Source organism: Homo sapiens, chromosome 4 (genome assembly GCF_000001405.40).
Source record: "Homo sapiens chromosome 4, GRCh38.p14 Primary Assembly".
Classification (NCBI taxonomy): Eukaryota; Metazoa; Chordata; class Mammalia; order Primates; family Hominidae; genus Homo; species Homo sapiens.
In genome coordinates, this window is record NC_000004.12 from 93,390,203 (window position 1) to 93,411,208 (window position 21,006).

The 21,006-nt window shown below is 34.5% G+C and overlaps 1 protein-coding gene across 18 annotated transcripts in view, besides 1 other annotated feature; it reads left to right on the plus strand.

The window, feature by feature from the left end:
- The window catches only part of GRID2 (glutamate ionotropic receptor delta type subunit 2), a 1,506,491-nt gene that overhangs the window by 1,086,237 nt on the left and 399,248 nt on the right, over positions 1-21,006 (plus strand). For all 18 annotated transcript variants that reach the window (NM_001440459.1, XM_024454024.2, NM_001510.4 and 15 more), the window contains one exon: positions 5,405-5,506. In NM_001440459.1, coding sequence (NP_001427388.1) covers positions 5,405-5,506 — 102 coding nt within the window. The remainder of the gene's footprint in view (positions 1-5,404; positions 5,507-21,006) is intronic.
- Positions 18,646-19,420: an enhancer, noted in NCBI's record as "OCT4-NANOG hESC enhancer chr4:94329999-94330773 (GRCh37/hg19 assembly coordinates)". NCBI's record gives its function as "activates a minimal SCP1, AML or CMV promoter by ChIP-STARR-seq in naive H9 embryonic stem cells {active_cell/tissue: H9 hESC(naive)}" and the evidence as "EXISTENCE:reporter gene assay evidence [ECO:0000049][PMID:30033119]".

A 21,006-nucleotide genomic window follows, 5' to 3' on the forward strand; every position in this document is an offset into this window, starting at 1 on the left:
TCCTGGGGTTTGGATGGAGCATCAGAATTTTTTAAAGCTTTCCATTCTAATAGTCAACAAAATATTCTAATAGTCAACAAAAGTTGAAAGCCACAGTTTTAAGGGCATGTTTTATCACTCAGACTACTAAGTCACCCGAAAAATGAGACTGAGCAAGGAACAAAAGAATTCTGATTATATAGGAAAAATAATAACAAACATTTCTTTAGTCTCAGTGTGTCATGAACACTTCTAAACACTTAACATATTTTAAATCAGTTAGTGGTCCCAAAAACTGTATGAGGAAGTCACTTTTACTATTCGCATTTGAGAGATGAGAAAACTGAAACCCAACAGCACACGCAAAGTAAGTGTTAGAACAGGTACTTGAACTCAATCAGTCTTCTTCTAGAGCTTCTTATCTGAACTGGTATGCTATATTGCCTCTAAATGTAGTGTAATGGTAATTTTATACCAGAAGAATTATAAAAGAAAGGAAAACCTATAAAAATAGGATATCATTAAATCAGTTAAATGCTAGTTGATAATAGAGTGATTATTATGACTGCATAAAACATCTATGGGTTATACATATGTGTATATAGACATATATATGTATATATTTATTCAAATATGTCTATATATAGATATATGTATACATATTTGTATATATATGTGTGTGTATATATATGCTGGTTCTCATGTTTTCTTCATTTGTAGGAATCAGTTAACAAGTTCTTGTTACATAGTATGAAGGTTCTGTTTTCAGTAGTGAAACAGGGAGATAAAAGTGGTTGAACCATGTGATTTTTTTTCTGACTTTTCAAAGACATTTTCTCCTGAAGGAAGCTCAAGTGCTAAGGCTATTCCACATAATCTCAAGAACGACTACTACTTTATAGTAATGACCAAACTGTAGTAATAGAATCTTAGGAGCATATAATCATCCTCTAGGGAACACATTTTACAAATTGAACCTATCTTGCAGGTGGAAATACCATAAAGAAAATTATCATTGGAGAGATTACTGGCACACTGCATTCATTCACATGTCAAAGTGGAAAACATTCCAATTTACTTCTATAAAACATGTATCTGAGTCAACCTGCCATATGTATTTTTTACACTTTCTATCCCCTTACAGAATATCTACCAAATAAATGCTGCACATTTCTAAGTGGCTGGCTTTTAAGCTGCTTTGCCTATGGCTTTTTGTTCCCTCTTTTTCTCAGCTGAGAAATCAAGTAAACAAAACATTGTGGCTGGTAGCATAGGTCCTCAGTGCAGTGGATATTTTGTGTCCGGCAGCTGGAGCATTGGTCGTACAGATGGGCTTCATTTGTTCCATATGAATACAAGTTAATAAATGGAGAGAATTCCATTTGGTATTCAATTAAGATCTCCCCTGACTCCTGTTATTAAAGCCTACAAACTATTGAGCATAAAATTAAAATCGAGCAGTTCAGCTCTTTTTGACATTATAACACTGCCTGAAAAATAATGTAAAACCCAAGAGTCACAAGTCATTCCTTACAGCCCATGGCAAATAAGAAGTGGAAACATTGAGGAAGAAAGAGTAAATATTTAAAACTTGATCATTAGTACACATGTTAGGAGCAGGCTACTGTGCTCATGCAAATACATCAATCCAGTTTGTTGAACACAAGATATTACATTAATTTTAACAGAATGTTACAAGATTATTATTGCCAAAGCTCCAATGAAGGAAATAATTAAAGCACTAGGCATTTTAAGGTCTTAAAATGACAGAAAATACTATAGGAAATCAATAACCAGAAAATACTATAGAAAATCAATATACTGTAATTGAAAGGAAATTGAATTGGGTTTACTTTTTTTATCCCGTCTAAATTTTCTTCAGATTGCCAGACCACTGAAGATAGTGAATCTTGTTTTGCCATCAGCAGTGTGACTTTCTCTAAGTCTCATGTGCTGCAAGGGCCATCTTTATTGTTTTTTATTTAGGAAGCACTCAGCTGAATAGACAGTATGAGATTTTGTGTGTGTGTTCTCTTTACTAGTCTTGGACTCATTGTTAAAAAAAACAGAAACAAAATCAAAGACACAGCAGACAAAAACAACCACCTCCACATAACCAGAGAAGTCAAATTAATGAGAATTCAGACATCGAAACCAGAGGACTTGTTAGATAAGCCTCACACTTGAACCTAAGTGAAATTCTTCTAGTTTTTATCAAACACTATGCCTGTCATTCTTGCTATGCAATAAGAAACATTACCAGTTGCAGATACAAATTCAATTTGAATCTATATGAATCTAACTCATTTTCATTGCTTATTATTTTAAAAAGTTATTATAATCAAACAAAAAAGCTTGAAATGAACCTCAGGGAGGTAAGTGGATATGAACAGAAATTAAAGAATGTTAAAATGAGAAATCCAGACTGGGTGCTGTGGCTTAAACCTATAATCCCAGCATTTTGGGAGGCTGAGGTGGGAGAATCCCTTGAGCCCAGGAGTATAAAACAAAACACTTAACAATTCTGAGTCTCAATGTCGTTGACTATAAAGTAGAAATATCTTCCCTTCCTACCTTAAATAGATCACATTTATGAAAAAGATTCATAAGTTATAAAACAACACCTCAATGAAAAATGCTGTATCTGGACTTTAAAAAGAAGTGAATTAAATACTAATTTTACCTCTTAGTATATATGTGATCTTAATGAAGTCCTTAGTTTTCTTGTCTGTTAAATAATAATGGTAAGGGCACCTTCTCATATGGTCATTGTGAAGCTTACATGTATAAAAAGCTCAGTACCATGGCTGACACATAGAAAGTATTTAACAGTGTTCAAAAACATAATCAATATAGGAAATAAGTATTATTTTATTTCCTTAATAATTTCTTAGTTATACCCCATTATCATATGTGATAAGAGAATGTACTTTATTTCTAGTTTTCCAGATAATCTGTATCCTAAACATTCTTTACTCCCAAATTCAGTCTTTGAGCATCCTAACTCTTGACATCCACAGCTAATATTTAGGAAACATTAAAATTTGTTTGTACATTTGAAGGAAGAACTAAGTAAATGGAACTTACCAATCCTAAAATCCAGACTGCTGTTATTAAGAAGAAGAACAACTGTACAAATGCTGTTATCAAAGGATGTATGAGTCAGGCGGAAAAAAAAGGAGAACACAGAAAGGTGAAAAGTCTTTGTCAAGCAGAGGAGAGAAATTATTGTCTTGTAATATATATGAGAGAGTCTAGCCAAATATTAAACATTTTTAAAATGAAAAGAAATATTATACATGGTATGAATAATATTTAAGTCATTGCCTAGGTTAGAAGATTAGATATATTTACCTATTCTACCTACTTCAAATGCTTTTTTGCTGTCATTGTTTGGAACCTCCAAATACTAGAATGCTTTAGAATTATAAAACCATTGACCATGTTCAGTTATGTTTAAAAGAAAACATCATTCTGAGGAAACTGGAAATTATATATTTATAAATGTTTGTCCATAGCATTGTTGAAACAAATGGCTCAGGTTTCACTGTTAATCCAGTTGCTGATATTTTTGACTACTCAATACACCAAAATGGTACAGTCAAGTTGGTGCTAATAGATGTCATTTATTTACACAAACTGACAATAGGTTCACCAAAGTTAAGAGACGAATTTAAGGGGGACAGAAAAGAAATTCCTGTGTGTGCTTTGGCAGCTTAGACATACTTACCACGAACAAGATTATATCTTAAAAGCTATTCGTTAAGCTTAAAATTAAGTTATATGGTTGTAATATGTGGAGAAAGCACATTGGAATAGCTCTTCACTTAATGTTATAGATCACTTTTTCCACCAATATTATTTGGTCTAGGAAAGTAAAATCCTCTTGAGGAAGTAATTAGAAAAAGCACACATCAGGGAATGTAATTGAAGATAGACTTTTGTTGACCTCAGAAGAGAAAAGCTCAAAAGAAATTTCGTAAAGTTTTAAATATGGCAAGAGGACCACAATGTCTTTGATAATTAGACTTTCAACACATTTGGATTTGCTAATTGGATCTAAGTTCTAATTAGGCTTTTTATGTAACTAAGAATGACATATCATTGTATGAATTTAATGTGCTTTTACAGTTGAAACTAACAATTAGCAGCCTTTTCCAAATTATTTTAATAAGGAAAAAGCTGGCTCTGCTGTTTATACTGTGACATTCCCTTCTCTTAAGATATATTATGTACATTTTCATTTTCTTAATTAAACACCTTTTGGGGAGCTTAAAGGGAAACTTGGGTTTTAATAGGAAGCACCTAAATTGTTTATTTGTGGGGGAGACTTGCCAGCCAGTATGTAGATGACTTTGGAAGCTACAGACAAACCGCAATAAAAAGAAATAAATCACAATCATCAGGAGGAAACAGCACAAATAACCATTTGCCCCTATGACCATTCAGTTAATCAAAACAGTCTCTGAATATGATGAAAGATCTGTTACATTTTTAAGTGTGCACATGCGGAATATGTTCCCAAATGTGAAGGCTCATGGATCTGCTTTCAGGATGAATAATAGGAAATTTCTTCTCAAGATGTGCATTACAACATTCTCTCTCTCTGTAGCCTTGTTCTGTAAACAGTTATCTGCTAATTCAAGTCAAATCATCTCTTTCTTTCTCCATATTTTTGATTGAGAGTCATCAATTTTTATCCCATTCAGATATATAGACAGTAATTTAAAAACTGGTAGCCCTCAGATTTGTACATTCCAAGAGATAAGACCTATATAACAGCATAAAATTAAACTACTATTTGGGTGAGTAAAGAGCAGTGAGTCATTGCAAGACTTTAAGGGAAAGGCTGCTGCCAAAATATTCCAAGCAAATTGATAACACTGCCAAAAAGGCAAATTATATTGTTTTATGTGCTATGAATACTTTGAAAACAAAGACATACACATGATTTTTTTCAAATAAAAGCAGTTGCCCTTCTAACCATATTAAAAATAGTGTCTTTTTTCCCAGTAAAAGCCATATAAGATCAAATTAAAACCATTGAAACTATTAGAGAATCTAACTTACAGTAATTGATATATTAAAAAAGACATTATGTTAGAGTTATATGTGCTATTATTTTTCCAATTAGTACATTACTGGGACTGAGTGATTGGTGTATACATAAGTCCTCATTAAGTAAAATGTCCTCAATGAGCCTCCTAAAGCACATTGGGTACTGTCATGTGCCATATAATGATATTTAAGAGCAAGAAATGGCATATCTAATAACTTCATTTCCTATTTAAAAAGAAAACCTGTGCAGTACTCTTTCCATACCAATTATTCTAAGAGCTATCACATAGTTCTCCATAAAGACTATACAGAGGTGATGGGACTGTTCTTCAGGCAGAAAAATGACCAAAGTTGTCTTATCTTTCAGCTTGGTTGCTGGAATCCTGTCACAGGTCTGAATGGGTCACTGACTGACAAGAAATTGGAGAATAACATGCGTGGAGTGGTTCTACGTGTAGTAACTGTTCTGGTAAGTATTATCTGAGCCTCGTGGTTTTGACTTTTGGAGGTTACTTTATCCTATATTTCTTTCTTTATTAACTGATGACATAATCTTAAAAGAGATTTTAACAAATTCTAAATACGCTTTCTAAGATTTTTTAATGGTCATATTTCACAGCCTTCAATTTACGTGGATCAGGATCACAGTTTTGCAGACTTTTAACTACAGTGTATGTGTTAGGAATTTTCTTAGAAATTTTAGGCTCAATTTCCATCCTACAGTTTTCTACACATGACAAAGTAAAGGTATGTCTCAGGCCTTCTTTCATTAAAACTGTAGTGAACATAGATAGTCAACATATAGTGAACATTGAAACTATAAATGAACATAACCCTGACCATGCCAAACAATGGTAGATTTGGTAAAATGTACATTCTCTAATAGTGAAATATTAACAAACTAAGAATCTTTTTCTCGTAAGAACCTACTTCAAAGGGAAGCTGTTGTTTAATAGGCATCTACTGTCGACTGTATTCCAGGCTCAGTGCTGATTACTGAGAACATTGACAAATAAAATGACAGATATAATTCTGTCTTGATAGAACTTATCATCTAGTGATTCTGTGAATGTTGAATAGGATTACAGTAGTTTCCCTTTATCTGTGGGGGATGCATTCCAAGACCCCCAGTGGATGCCTGAAACTGTGGATAGTTTTGTTTTCTTCCAACACAATCACATTGTGTAGGGCTTATAGGTTATAGAGTGTGGATATGCTGGACAAAGGGATGAGTCACATCCAGGGCATGTCAGTGGGATGGTGTGAGATTTCATCATGCTACTTAGAACAATGTTAAATTCAAAACTTATAAATTGTTTATTTCTGGAAGTTTTCATTTAATATTTTTTGGACCATGGCTGATTGAGGAGTAACCGAAACTGGTGAAAGAGCAACCATGGATAAGAAGAGTCTACTGTATACCTGGGAAAGATCTGTTACAATTTCATTTACTTATTAAAAAGTCAATAAATGGTAACTGTTATAATTCTATACATTATAGTTTTCTTTCCTAATAGATACATACAATAAGATGTTAATAGAAATATTCTTAAACAGTAAAATACTCAAATGGGCTCTGTCTAAATAGCCATAAACCACGAAGGCATACATTCTCCTTTGCTATTCCAATGTGTTTAATCATGTGCTAGTTTATAGCCTGTTTCAAAACGTAATAGTCCATAGTTAGTACTTTATTTTTCTTCAGAAAAGTCTACTTGTTTTTAATTTTGAAAAAGATTTTCCTATGGGCTAGGTAAATTGCAGAATTAGTAAATAGGAGAGGAAGACTTTTTGATACGTTGATGCTAATTGGATGTTCATCAAATTTTATAACACCAGTTGCTGCCCTTTGTACATTGTTTACTACAAATTAAATATATGCAATGTAATTTTATTGTCAAAAAAGTGGATTTGTGCATATTTTCTATGAAAGGACATTCAAGTGAGTGACCTATTCTTCTTTTTTTGTGGCCCATAAATTATTCCTAGTTATTATTTTTAAAAGGGCTTAATTGCTTTTGGTAAATAATTGTAAGTATTTCACAACTTAAATGTGAATTCGCTTCTGTATGTACCTAAGGGTATTGATATGCATTTACATTGATGCACTAATATTAAAAAAGACAGATATTTAAAGTACAGCAAATTATTAATAGTCTTTCCTCCAGTGATTAGCATGAAAACTCCAGTGATGATTGCAGTGAAAGACGGTATATGTGCTTTGTTTTCCTTTGAGAAAAGAAAGCAAATCTTTAAGTCCAATTAACCTCAGTCAGTTTTAAGCAAATAGTTATTTCGCAATTACTATATGATAGACTCAGTAATGGATATAAGAGAAATAATATACAGACCTTGTCCTCAAAGTATTCATAGAATCTTGTTAGGTTGATGCACATAGAGAAAAACAGCTCAGATTGATTAAATATGGTTGACCCTTGGTGTCTGTGAGGCATTGGTTCCAGGAAACCCCCACACCAAAATCTGCAAATTCTTAAGTTTCTGATATAAAATGATATAGTATTTGCATATAACCTATGTACCTCCTCTCATATGCTTTAAAGCATTTTAGATTACTCTTAATACCTAATACAGTGTAAATGCTATGTAAGTAGTGGCTCTACCGAATTATATATTTATTTTTGTTATTTTTATTGGGTTTTTTTCCTAATATTTTTGAGCCTCAGTTTGTTGAATCTATGGAGTTGAGTCTAGATGCAGAACCTGTGGATATGGAGTGTTAACTGTACTTACTATGTGCAAGCTACTCTACTAAGTCTTTTGCATGTATTGTCTTATTTTGTCCTCACAATATTCTCAAGAAATAGGTAATATTCTGATCTCAAGAGGAAACTGAGACATCCAGAAGTTGAAATACATACATGTATGTGTGTGTGTATATATATATATATATATCTTATCATTAAGGGAAGGGGTTAAGGTCTAGAATCAGACTTCCTGAATTTGAATCCTAACTCTGCTACTTACTATCTGTATAATGTTCATAAATACATGAACCTAGAAGAAATTGAAGAATAACATGCAAGGAGCGATTCTACGTGTGGTAACTGCTCTGGTAAGTATTACCTGAGCCTTGTGGTTTTACAGACAGTAAGTAGCAGAGTTAGGATTCAAATTCAGGAAGACAGATTCTAGACGTTAACCCCTTCCCTCTTAATGATACATTATACTGTCTCCAGTCCTACTGTGATAAGTGTGAGAACTGAGGTGTCTATAGAATTTTGTTTGACTTGAGAGTTGAAAATGCTTACGTCTGAATAAGGTGAAAGTGAGTTTTATTGGGAAGGATTGTAGGTACAATCATGTTAAATTCATTTCCAGGCTGAATAAAACAATTGCTATTTTGTTCATGAAATAGTAGCACTTCACACAGTGTTAACACCTGCATACCCCAGGTTCACCTTCATGACTCTTAATAATCTCTATTTCCTGCAAGCTTAGCCCTGCACAGATATTGAATATGGTTTTGTGACTGGAGACATGGAAGCAGTGTTTTTTTTTTTTTTTTTCAAGTCTTCTATGATGGACTTATCAGTTGGGTGCCAGTTGAGTAACAGGTTGTTATACTTATTACATTACTACAATATACAATCATTGTGTTTAATAATTTTGCATGCTTCCTATGTCTTTCTGTAACTACTCTGAGAATGGAAACCAGTCATTCCCTTCTTATTTATTTTCTACAAGTGCCTTTTCAGGTCTAGCTCTTAGTTATATGGCCTTGCAAGCTTCTTCTACTCAACACTGAGAACCACTCTCCCCTCACCCCACCCAGCAACTCCCGAATCTTGAGGCTTTACCTCACTAAACCCTGAAACTAGGATTTAATCTATACTCAACTTGATGTTGTCACCTAAACGCAACCTCCCACCCCCTTATATTCCAAGTATTTACGTCCAACACTTTCCAGAAGAGAAAAGGGAAAGGACCAATGTGTACATGGGAAGAAGCTATTTCCTCCTTTCTTCTATTGAAACTGAAATCTAGTCTTAGCTCTACCCACTCCCTCTTTTCTTAAGAAATTTTATATTATCAATTACACCAGGTTAATAAAATGGATTTTTCTTACCAAAATTTTGAAATTCCCATTCTTATGACTGTTGATATTTTATTGACTTGAAAGAAATAACTTCATATTTATTTTAAACTACACAATTCAGCACTCTACTGTTTGTGATCCCATGGGCAAATAAGTGGTGCTCTCAAACATTTCATTGAAGAGTTAAATAGAGGTATTATTGACGAAGATGTAAATAGTGTTAAAGGAATCAACAAGGAGTGTTGAATCACCAGAACCTACCTAGATGACTTACATGAAGACTGATAAGGCATGGGAGGAAGCATTATTACTAGACAAAGCAATAGAGCCATGGGAGAGAGACCATCACTCATAGTAGTAGTGAGCTACAGTGCAGAAAAAGAAAGAGAATCACTGCCAATACCAAAATCAGGCTATGAGGAACTGGGAATAAGGGATACACTGATCTCACTCCTCTTATCTATCTCTTTTCATGGTCTCCAACTGCAAATCCAACCAGAAGTCAGAGGTTATGGGAGCCTAAGTAAGGAAGACCATGAAAGTTAGTCTTTCAGGACACAGAGGAAGGCAGTGAAGCCCTCAGTGAATCCAGAAGAAAAGTAGAGAAAAACCAACACGAGCATCTACCATTTGATAGGACCTATTATAAGAAGGTTATATATATTAACTTATTTAATCCTTATAAAATTTCATATGAGTGGCACTAATTACATTATAAGGATAAAAATAGGGTACATAAGAGTTAACTAAATTTCTGCCTCCATATAGCTAGCAGGAGCCAGACATAAATTTCAAGATCAGAGATCCTGGTTCCACAAACCATGTCCTTAGCCACTCTGATAATCTTCCTTCTGAATCAGAATGGACTCATGTTAGGTATAAATGAAATTTGATATAATTATTGAGATGTGAGGATTGCATATGTTGGATTGATAACTTAGGAGAATTTTCCTAAATTTCTTCATATATAGATTTCTTTGTATTCAACCATCACCAAAGCCACAGAAATATGTCTTAGAAATGGAGGAAAAGAAAGAATGATAATAAAAGCAGTCTCTACTACTTGGTGTCTCTTCTAATCTCTTTGTTTCCATAATTTGCCCACTGATCTTTACTTCTTACCAAGTGGTCCAAGTGTATTACTACAAAGGAATTATGAAGATTTTCCCGTTTTTAACTTCCTGAGTTATGCAATGTAGATAGCAATAAATGACCAATTAAGTCATTCAATTGTTTTCATGGTAATTCATGAAAACACTATTGGAAACATTACTGAGTTATAAACATAATCATAATATATATGATAATAAAATGGAAAGGAATTGGTTACAAATTAAAAGAAAGGCGTGCGAAGCTATGCTGCAACAAGTATAAGATATCTGAGAACCATAAATTGGCATTTGGGAGGAGCTCACTGATTAGTAATTCTTATTTACCTACTTTGATTGGCCTTAAAAAAGACATATACATTCCTAATAAACATACATTCACTCATGAATTCACACAAAACAGTCAAAGATCCTGACTTTAGAGAGTTTTTTTGTTGTTTGTTTTTATTGAGACAGGCTCTCACTCCTTCACCCAGGCTGGAGTACAGTGGCATGATCATGGCTCACTGGAGCTTCAAACTCCTGGGCTCAAGAAATCCTCCCACCTCAGCCTCCTGAGTAGCTGGGACTACAGGTGCATGCCACCGTGCCTGACTAATTTATTTTTCGTAGAGACAGGGGCTCGCTATGTTGCCCAAGCTGGTCTTGAACTCCTGGCCTCAAGTAATCCTCCCAAAGTATTGGGATTACAGGTATGAGCCACCGCACCCATCCAGGGAGTTTGATTCTTGCAAGATATCTTCTAAAGCTCTCAAAATAGTCTTGAAAAACTGCAGTGCAGTTGTTCTCCATTAAATACACAATAGAGCATTTTTTTGCCTAGAATTACCATAAAAATAATTCAATATATAAATTGAATTCATATATAAATATATGACTGGAAGTCTATAGTAAAGACTGTGATAGTGATTTTTCTGCATTTTATAAATTAAAAAACATAGTTTTTCATATTTTAATCTCTCTAAAATTAGGATGCATCCTTCAACTTCTATTTGCAATTGTAATTAGCACCATGTTTGTCTTTATTAGTGATGTGTAAAATAGTTGCACATCTTACAATAGGAAACATTTTAGATTAAATAATGTATGGTATTTTTACAAATTAAGTTAATGGATATTCCTGGAAAGTTAAGTTAAACGTCACTGGGCAAGAAGCCACATAAAGAGAATAACTATTTTAAAGAATACCTCCAAAAGAAAAGGCAGTAGGAAATATACCAATTAGAAAACATAGGACAGTAATAGCAATGAGAAAAATTACTGTCTAAATTAAAACTGTTGCCTCAATCATAGAAGGATATACACAGAAATAGGAAATACACAGAGATAGCTTATCTTGAATCATTACCACAAAGCAATATCCAAAATATCTATTGAGAGAATGGTAGGTTTTTCTAAGCAACTCACCAAAGGAAGGATTGTTTGCCTGGCTGCAGCAGACAGCCACCTACTGAGTTATCATTTTGAGTAATTTCTTTTTCCTAAAAAATATCCATCATTAGTCTCACTTTTTGGAATTTCTTTTTTTTTTTTTATGGAGATTGTGACTGATATATGGGCACCAGAGTCTTAATTTGTACAAAAACAAAAAAAAAGTATTTAGGTTAGATTTAGTTATTTATATACATCAGCATGAAGTAAAGCAATGTACTTAATTTCCTCTTAATATACCTTTTAACAAAGGAATAAATAATATATAATTCATTTTTTATTCAAAGTACTTCACACAATTTTGTTGCCTTTATTTCACCAAGTCTCCTCTATTTAATACACCTATGCTAAGAAGCTTTGGCACACACTGCAAAAAGCACTCAACTTGCAGTCAAAAGGTATGACTTTTAGTATCGTACTAGTTTTTCTGCTTAATTGATCTTTGAATTTATGGAAACCAAGACGCTGTTCTGAACTTCAATTTTTCCATCTGTAAAACAGGAATAATAAAACCAATCACAAAGGGTTACTACTATATTAACTGGATGAAACTATGTGAAAGCAGGTAGCAAAATGAACAGTGCTTCTACATACATTATCTCTGCAGTAAAACTATGATGTGTAAACTCAGTAAAGAAAAAAAAGCATGAGTGATCATAAAAGTCTAATTATTCATTGTCATCAAACTTCAGATTTTTGTGGGAGATTGGAGGACTCTAAGGGAGACAAACAAATGTAAACTGCAGAATAATGAGTTTTAGGCCCCGTCACTGTTACCTCAATTTGAAAACCTGCTAATGAGGACCACAGGAACTCTTCTGCCAGTGAAGCTGGTACTTCCTAGAGGAAAAATGCACAAAAAACACCTACCACCGAAAACAAAAGCACCCTGAATTATGATTTTCAAAAATATCTAGAAGTTTATATATCAATTATATTATCTCATATAAACTGTGTTTGATTCCAGGCTAGCTTTAAATAGACTCTATATTTTAATATATAACTAAACAAATGCCTCCAGTGATAGTTCTGAAACGTCATTGTCCTTAAATTTTTTGCTAAGGACATTGTCCAAGTGTTTGCTACTTAGAGACTTTCAGAATTTTCATCGCTACCTCAAAGTTCAAGCTTTTCTGAGGTCCCAGCGTTTGAGCCTCTTGAACCTGGAGGCAAGGTTAGGGGTTGGGAAAGTAAACTTGTCAAGAGACTCTACTGGGCAAGCCCTCACAGCAAGGAGTTGGGAAGAGAGCTGACAGCAAGCTCTGGTGGCTCCCACAGCAATGTCTTACGAGGGCTCCTTCGGAGGAGTTAATAAATAATAAAGTTTGGTTCAGGACTCCAGGCAAGAATGACAACTCTGGCTGAGGAAATTTCCAGGGGCTGATATCTAAAATAAACTTAAAGTCACAATAAAATATGATAAGTGCCATGTAATAATCCTACAATGGAAATACACAGGATAGCATTGTGGTTAAGAACACAGTTCCCACAGTTTCACTTCTGGGGTGGCAAATGAGGAGTTCCATGGACCCACTCCCCAGCAAAATAAGCAGAGATGTCAAAAATGAAAAAGAAATGAACAAAAAACAACACTAACAAAAAAGTTTACATTCTCTGGAAATAATTGCAAATCATATATCTCATAAGTGATATTTAGCATATACAAAAATATTATAACTCAGTATGAAGAAATATAAACAAAATTAAAAAAAATTAAAATGGGCAAAGATCTGAACAGTTCTGCAATGAAGATATATTTATATAAATGGTCAGTAAGCAAATGAAGAGATGCTCAGCATAGTTTTCCATCAAGGAAATGCAAATCAAAACCACAATGAGCTATGACTACAAGCCCACTAGGATGGCTATATTCAAAATGACAGATAATAACAAATGTTGGCAAGGATGTTGAAAAATCAGAATGCTGATACATTGCTGGTAGGAATGTAAAATGGTACGACTCCTTCAGAAAACAGTCTAGCAGTTCCTCAAATGGTTAAAAGTAGAGTCACTACATGATTACAAATTCCACTGTATATATAATCCCAAGAGAAATGAAAACATATGTCCATATGAAAACTTGTACTCAAATGCTCATAGCAGCATGGTTGATTGCAGCCAAAAATGGAAACAACCCAAAGGTCTATCAACTGGTGAATGGATACATAAAATGTAGTATACCATAAAATGGAATATTATTTGGCAATAGAATGAAATTACATGTTGATAACAGTGTGCAGCATGGATGAACCTTGAAAGCATGCTAAGGGAAAGAAGCCAGACACAGAGGATCATGTATTATATGAATTCATTTCTGTGAAATGTTCAGAATAGACAAATCTATAGGGACTCACAGGGGCAAAAAGTAATTCGTGATTGCCTAGGTCTGGGAAAGTTTTGGAGATTGGCAGATGACAGCTAACAAGAGTGGCATTTTTGAGGGGGAGCTGGTAATAAAGTTCTAAAACTGACTGCAATGATGATTGCACATATTTGCGAATATACTAAAGCTATTGGATTGTGCACTTTGGATGGGTGAATTGTATATTATGTAAATTATATCTGAATAAAGCTACTTTTTAAAAAAGAGAGAGTCTGGTTCCCCAGACTGCCTATGTTTAAATCCCCACCTCTCCTACCTGTGAATGTAGGCCAGGTATTTAAACTCTATGATTCTGTTTCTTCATCTGTACAATGGAGATAATATAAATTACCTACCTCATAAAGCTGTTATAAAAATTCAAATAACTAGTACATGCAAAGAACAAAGACCTTCTAACAGAACCTGGCACATGAAAAGTGTGATATGTGTCCATTCTTCTTATGCACAGACTGTTAAGGGAGAGCATGAAAGAAGTATCCAACTTATGGGTAAGGCAGTCGGCAAGGCTTAAAGGATGATATTTAAATTCATCTTGAAAGATGAGCAGGGATTATCAAGGAATAGATAAGAGGGAAGGGATATCCAGCATTAGAAAGAGTATATGCGGAAGTATGTAGATATGATATTCTATCAAGAATTTAAAGTATCCTAAAAGTAAATTCAAATATTTTCTGAAGTATATGAAATTGAAATACAGAAAATTCCAGCAACCTATGTGTCATGTCTTCTCTTTTTTAAGAGTTCCTTTAGAGACAATTCAGTAAGAAATTTCTCTGTGACTATGAAGGTAATATTGTATGATGTAAATAATATTCACCAAGTTAAAAATAACATTGCTACAACTCTGATCCAGTGTAAAGTTTAGGTAAAATAGTACTCATTTTTATTATTGAAACAGTGTAATCAGTAGACATAGCTCTGTGTTGTGTACATATTTTGTTTTGTCTCTTCTTCTGAGTGTACTCATCTTAGGTGAATGGGGAAAATATGATTTTTATAAACAGACTCTTAAAGAAAAATGGCCTATGCAAATGATGTAATTTAGAGCAACCATAGTATATGTGTTCACTTCAGCGCTCACTAAATAAAATCACCATAAGAATTGATGCATGACAATGGCTTGACAATTTCTTATTCTTTTGTATCACACCAATTCTTGAAATGATAGCTGTTGCACAGACATGTGTGAGTATTGCTATTGTATATGTGGTAGCCATGCATGACCCTACTTTTCTCCTCTTGGAAGCTGGAACCTGAATTCTTAGACTAATCAATGAGTAAATATTTCAGAGATGTGTTATCTAATTTACTTCTGAAAAACAGATCTACTACTTGTCTCTAGACATTTAGAAAGAGATTGACAGAGTCATTTGCAAATTCAAAGATATAAAAACAGTAGGTAGATTGACTTCCATAATCAAATCAATATTTGGTTAGAACATTTCACAATATTCTAACCGAAATTACATGAACTACATTATATACTTTCAGAAATGCAGTGTACCACTCCATCTGAACAAAAACATAATGTTAAGGTGTCCTTGAAGCTTTAAGTCATCTTTTGGCAATGCAGTAGTTTCAACATAATCACAAGACAAAACCAGTTCCACATAAAATTCTTCAGAAATGAACATGAATATAAATAAAAACTTGAGAGATGCTACTGAAATAGATTTTACATTTCAGAGTTACAAAGGAACACATTAGTAGCTATTAAAGCTTACAGATAACATTACCATCTAGCTTACTAATAAATCTCATTGTTAGTATTTTCTCTAGTCTTTACTGAACCTTTAAGATTATTAATTTTTTTCATATTTTATTGATATGGCTAGGATAGAGTTATTAAATAACTTCTTCAAGTTACAAATATGCTAAAAATAAGCATTGAATCCTTATCTATCTAATTTACTCCCAGCCATGATGATTCTAACAAGGACTGGCCTAATTTCCTGCCACAAAAGGCTATAAAACTGAGCCAAGTATGGAAAAACCTTTTCAGACATTAGTCAATTGGTAGAAATGGACTTTGATACCTAAAAGGTTGGAAACAACTAAATGATCCCAACAATTATCCCAGCTTTCTTGCTGCTGGCAGTTTCCATACTGGAGACATGAAAGTATGGATCCAAAACAGAACTTGTCAGCCTCACTGAGTTTACGAAGTAGAGATCAGAGGGTGAGAAAGCTGATGTGGTTGGCGCATATTATCTCATTTTTGAGATATGTTGTAAATTAGAGGGAGCTGAGCAGGAAAATATTTACAGAAATGTGAATCTTGCCTGAGTACTAGACCATCAATGCTAGAGAGAAATTCTACAAGTGTGGGCAAAGAATGACAGGAATCAGAACAATCGCCAGAGCTCACACATGATTTTTGAGAAAGGTTTCATTTGGGGAGATCGTATTGTATCAAGAATTCAAAAGAAAATGTAGAAAGTATGTATTTATCTTTGAGTTGTGTAGTGATCGATAGAAATTTAGGTGAATATCTAAATATCTATATAGATATAAAGTAGGATACTCCCACACACCTTGCTATTTCTGTGTTTTACATATTTCCCTGACCTCCCAAAATGTCCAGTTTTTTGTTAGGAAGCTGCACGCTCATCTTCCCCTTCTGAGCTCCAAGAGCATGTTGATGTTCTTGCTGTTTCATAGCTGATATAAATTAGCATTGGGTAAACGACGAAAAAACGTCACAGAAAGTTTTTCTTGTTCACATTTTGGAAATCTTCCTTCTCAGTAGAGAAAAGCAACCTTAAAGTTGCAACATCATGATTGGATTTCAGTTCACAAAAGAAAATAAATTTTGACAAATCACATATGCTTTTCCTGTCCCTCCCAAAATGCTGCAGTCTTCCATGGCAGCCTTACCAAAGAAAAAACTAAGTCCCTAACTGGAACTTGGATTCTTTCAAAGGCACAGTAAGAGGTTTTGACCAATAGAGAAGCATTGATCAAATCACTATCCACTGCATTACATGGTACTCTAGGAGAGTCTGAAATGAGAATAGATATCTTCAAAAAGCATCCAAATCTGGGGCTGGTTTACTCATCTGTCAGCTTCTGGAATAGTGAACATGCTATTAAAATTCAGCTCCTTCTGGGAGGTGGGAAGATAATCAAGGGGAGACCCACCATACTGCATGGAAGTCCCAGAAATGGAAAAGCTGATCAAAGGAAGGAAGGTAATATACTTTTTTATAATATGTTCCTTGGGATTTTTAATGATCGGTCGAAATACAGAGGTTTTGGTTTTAAGGTGTTATTTTCACAGCATCTCCAGGTAAACTTCCAAGTATTATGTTAGCCTGGATAGAAACAAAAAAGTCCATAATGCTTGAAACTGAATATGTGATCCTTGCATCATGTTTAAAATTGTTCAGCAAGGAATTTCAGTTTCTCTAGGTGATGGAAGTTAGCACGAGCAAAGGAACTTTACAATTTTTCAGAATTTTTTTTTTTTCATGTTTGGAAGGTCTCCTCCTCCTCCTCCTCCTTCTCCTCCTCCTCCTCCTCCTCCTCCTCCTCCTCGTCCTCCTCCTCCTCCTCCTCATCCTCCTCGTCCTCCTCCTCGTCCTCCTCCTCTTCCTCCTCCTCCTTCTCCTCCTCCTCCTCCTCCTCCACCTCCTGCTTCTCCTTCTCCTCCTTCTTCTTCATTTTTATTTTTAACCATTGCTAGTGGTATGATTTTTGAATTGGGAAAACAAAATATTCAGACTAAATATTTTCCCAATGATTCTTATGTAGAGTAATGTACTTTGCAATTCAATTAAAAATAACAAGCTAGGATGGTGTTCTGAGCCAAATGTAATCTCCAAGACCATGGTCAGTAAAGTACTCAAGAAAAAAGTATTGAGGCCGAGTAGTCTGAAGTCTACTGGGGAATAAAGAAGCAGCTGATTAGCATTTGAAAGCAAGGTCTTTCACTGTTTTAAAAGTGAAGGAGAATTTTTTAACAGAACACTCATCAAAAACAAAGCGTTTGAAAATTACCCCTCCTTTGTTTTATCAGTCTCAGGGAAGATGCACTTCGATACACGTCTCAGGAATTAAGATGCATTTCGATACATGTAATATTACATTTGGTGACACTGCTGGAACATATGCTGAGAAATGCAAGAATAAATAGGACTAATGCTCATTTTCTTTTTTTTTTTAATCACTTGCAAGTGACATTTGTTTCATCTAGGCAGGAAAGCAGGATCTTATAGGCAGGGTAGGTGTAAGGGCTGATTTTAGGTCAAGCTTTTCAATTTATTATGCAATAAAATATAGCAATAAAAATATGCATCTTTATATTTTCCAGTAAATTATAGGAATCTCCGTTTAATTTTTTATATATGTGCTAATAATTAATTCAGTACTACAGTCTGGATCCACAGTCCTTTTGATAAGAGCTGGCACAGAGGTCATTTTTATGTGCCTTATTATTAATCTTAATAATATGTAGTAATATTCCTTTATATGCTTATTGTGACACACAGAAACTTAAAGCCTTTGTAGCTTTAAGTTCAGATGTCTCCACATTCTTTTGTAAATCCCTGCAGATTTGTTTCTTGCTTTTAAATATCAGCACCTTTCTGCTGTCTACTCTTAGGTCTCTGCCCTCTATGCAGGAGATCTTTTCTTTTAAGTTTCCCACCGTGCTTCATAATAAAATCAAAAGAAAAAGGTACATCCCTCAGAAAGCATTCATCTCACTAGAAATAGAAAACCTGTCACCTTATTCTTAAAACCTTAGATCAGCCAGGCCAGTGGCTGAAATAGTGAGGGTAGTGTCTACAAAGGGTATAGAGTAGGGGTAGCAAAATAATTATGTACCTTGTTCTCTCCACATCTTTTAGGGAAGAGACTCTTTGCTCTGGAAAATGACTTAATACCATTGGGAGGAAAACATTTCCTCTACCCACTTAGGTTCCTATGTTTAGGGGCCTGTGAATTAACTGATAATAGACAGATTAACAGGAGAAAAGAAAAGGTTAATCTACACATGCATGTGAAGTCACTCAATAATGAGTCGTTTCCTGAATACCCAGAGGTAAAGATTGGTATAGCAACTTAAAAAAGGGAAGGGAAGTGTGGCTAGGGCATCAATGTGTAGTTGATCTCCTTCCTGGGATTAGCAGAAAGCTCTTGGAGGAGAGTTAATAGCAGCTGTATTGGGGGTAGTGTCAGCTTTAGTTAGGTAAGGGAAAGTCAGATCAGATTTCAAATATTTTCACTTTAATCTTTATGCTAAAACTGTGATTCCTTCAATATGCTGATGAAAGTTGAAGTGTGGCTTGGAAAAAAAGAGAAAGTATAAGTAGATTTATTCTAGATATAAAGCATTTTTTAGGTATAGTAGAAAGAGAGAAAGAGAAAGCAACAGGCACACACACACTGAGAGAGAGATTTTGACACGACCATGTCAAAGACTAAGAGTACCCCAAGTTCTTTATCAACCATGTAGTTTCTGCAACCTGCAGTATACACACATGCATACCCATATACTGATGGAGGCAGTCTAAATTAATGGTTAAGAATATGAACTTCAGCACCAGAGGGCATTGGATTCAAATTTCAATCTTTCTTACTAGCTTTGTAACTTCAAACTTTTTTCCTCTTGGAAGCTGGAAACTGCATTTTTAGATTAAACAATGAGTAAATATTTCAGAGATGTGTTATACAGTTTACTTCTGAAAACAGATTTATTACTTGTCTCTAGAAGTTTAGAGAGAGATCGACAGAGTCATTTGCAAATTCAAAGATATAAAAAACAGGTAGACTGACTACCATAATCAAATCAATATTGGTTTAGAAAATTTCACAATATTCTAACTCAAGTTATGTGAACTATATTATATACTTTTACATTATTTATCTACCCTCAAGTTTCAGTTCTCTCCTTTGCAAATGACAATAACAATACCAAAAAATAAAAAAACTAAATGAGGTAATGAACGTAAAGTGATAAGGATGATGACAGGCATAAAGTAAGCTTTTTATTGTTTTTATTTGCTTTTTCCTGTAGCCTGAAAATATGTTCAAGGTAAAAAAAAGCATTCTTTTGCTCTGAATCTCCTTTATTCTACCAATTCTTTTCTCGTGTAAGTGTCTCAGACTCTTCAGTTGTCTTCACTTTGTCATTTATTTTTATCCTCAAATCATTGATATTTGGCTTCTATTTTCACTTCTCCAAACAAATTGCTTTTTTGTCTTCATGATCTTCTACGTGACAAATTAAATGCATGCTTTCAGACCTTACCTTCCTGGACCTCTCACCTCCATTGGAATCCACTGGCAATTTACTCCCAGAAGCCCTGTCCTCTCTTGCATCTTCAACATCTTCTGATTCTGACCTCTCTATTCCTTTGTTTATTTGTTTGTTTGTTTGAGACAGAGTTTCACTCTTGTTGCCCCAACTGGAGAGCAATGGCATGATCTAGGCTCACTGCAACCTCCATCTCCTGGGTTCAAGTGATTCTCCTGCCTCAGTCTCCCAAGTAGCTGGGATTACAGGCATGCGCCAACATGCCTGGCTAATTTTGTATTTTTAGTAGAGACAGGGTTTTGCCATGTTGGTCAGGCTGATCTCGAACTCCTGACCTCAGGTGATCCTCCCGCCTTGGCCTCCCAAAGTGCTGGGATAACAGGCGTGAGCCACAGTGCCCGGCCTCTCTATTCCTTTTACCTCCTTCATTGGATTCTCTTCTTCCAGAGTTTCATCCCTGGCCTTCACTATACTTTATTGAATGACTTCATTTACTTTCTAGAAAGTTATAAACAAATTTTTATTTCCAACCCTAGCCTCTCTCTCCTGCTTCAGACTCATTATCCACGAGTACTATTGAAAAAAGTATTCTATATTTAATGACAAAAAAACAGAAAATATGGAAAACAAAAATTAACAGCAAAATCATAAATAATTCTTCCATCAAAAGTTACTTGCTAATATTTTAGTGTCTACCACTAGCTAAACTTAACTACATTTCCTTATCTAT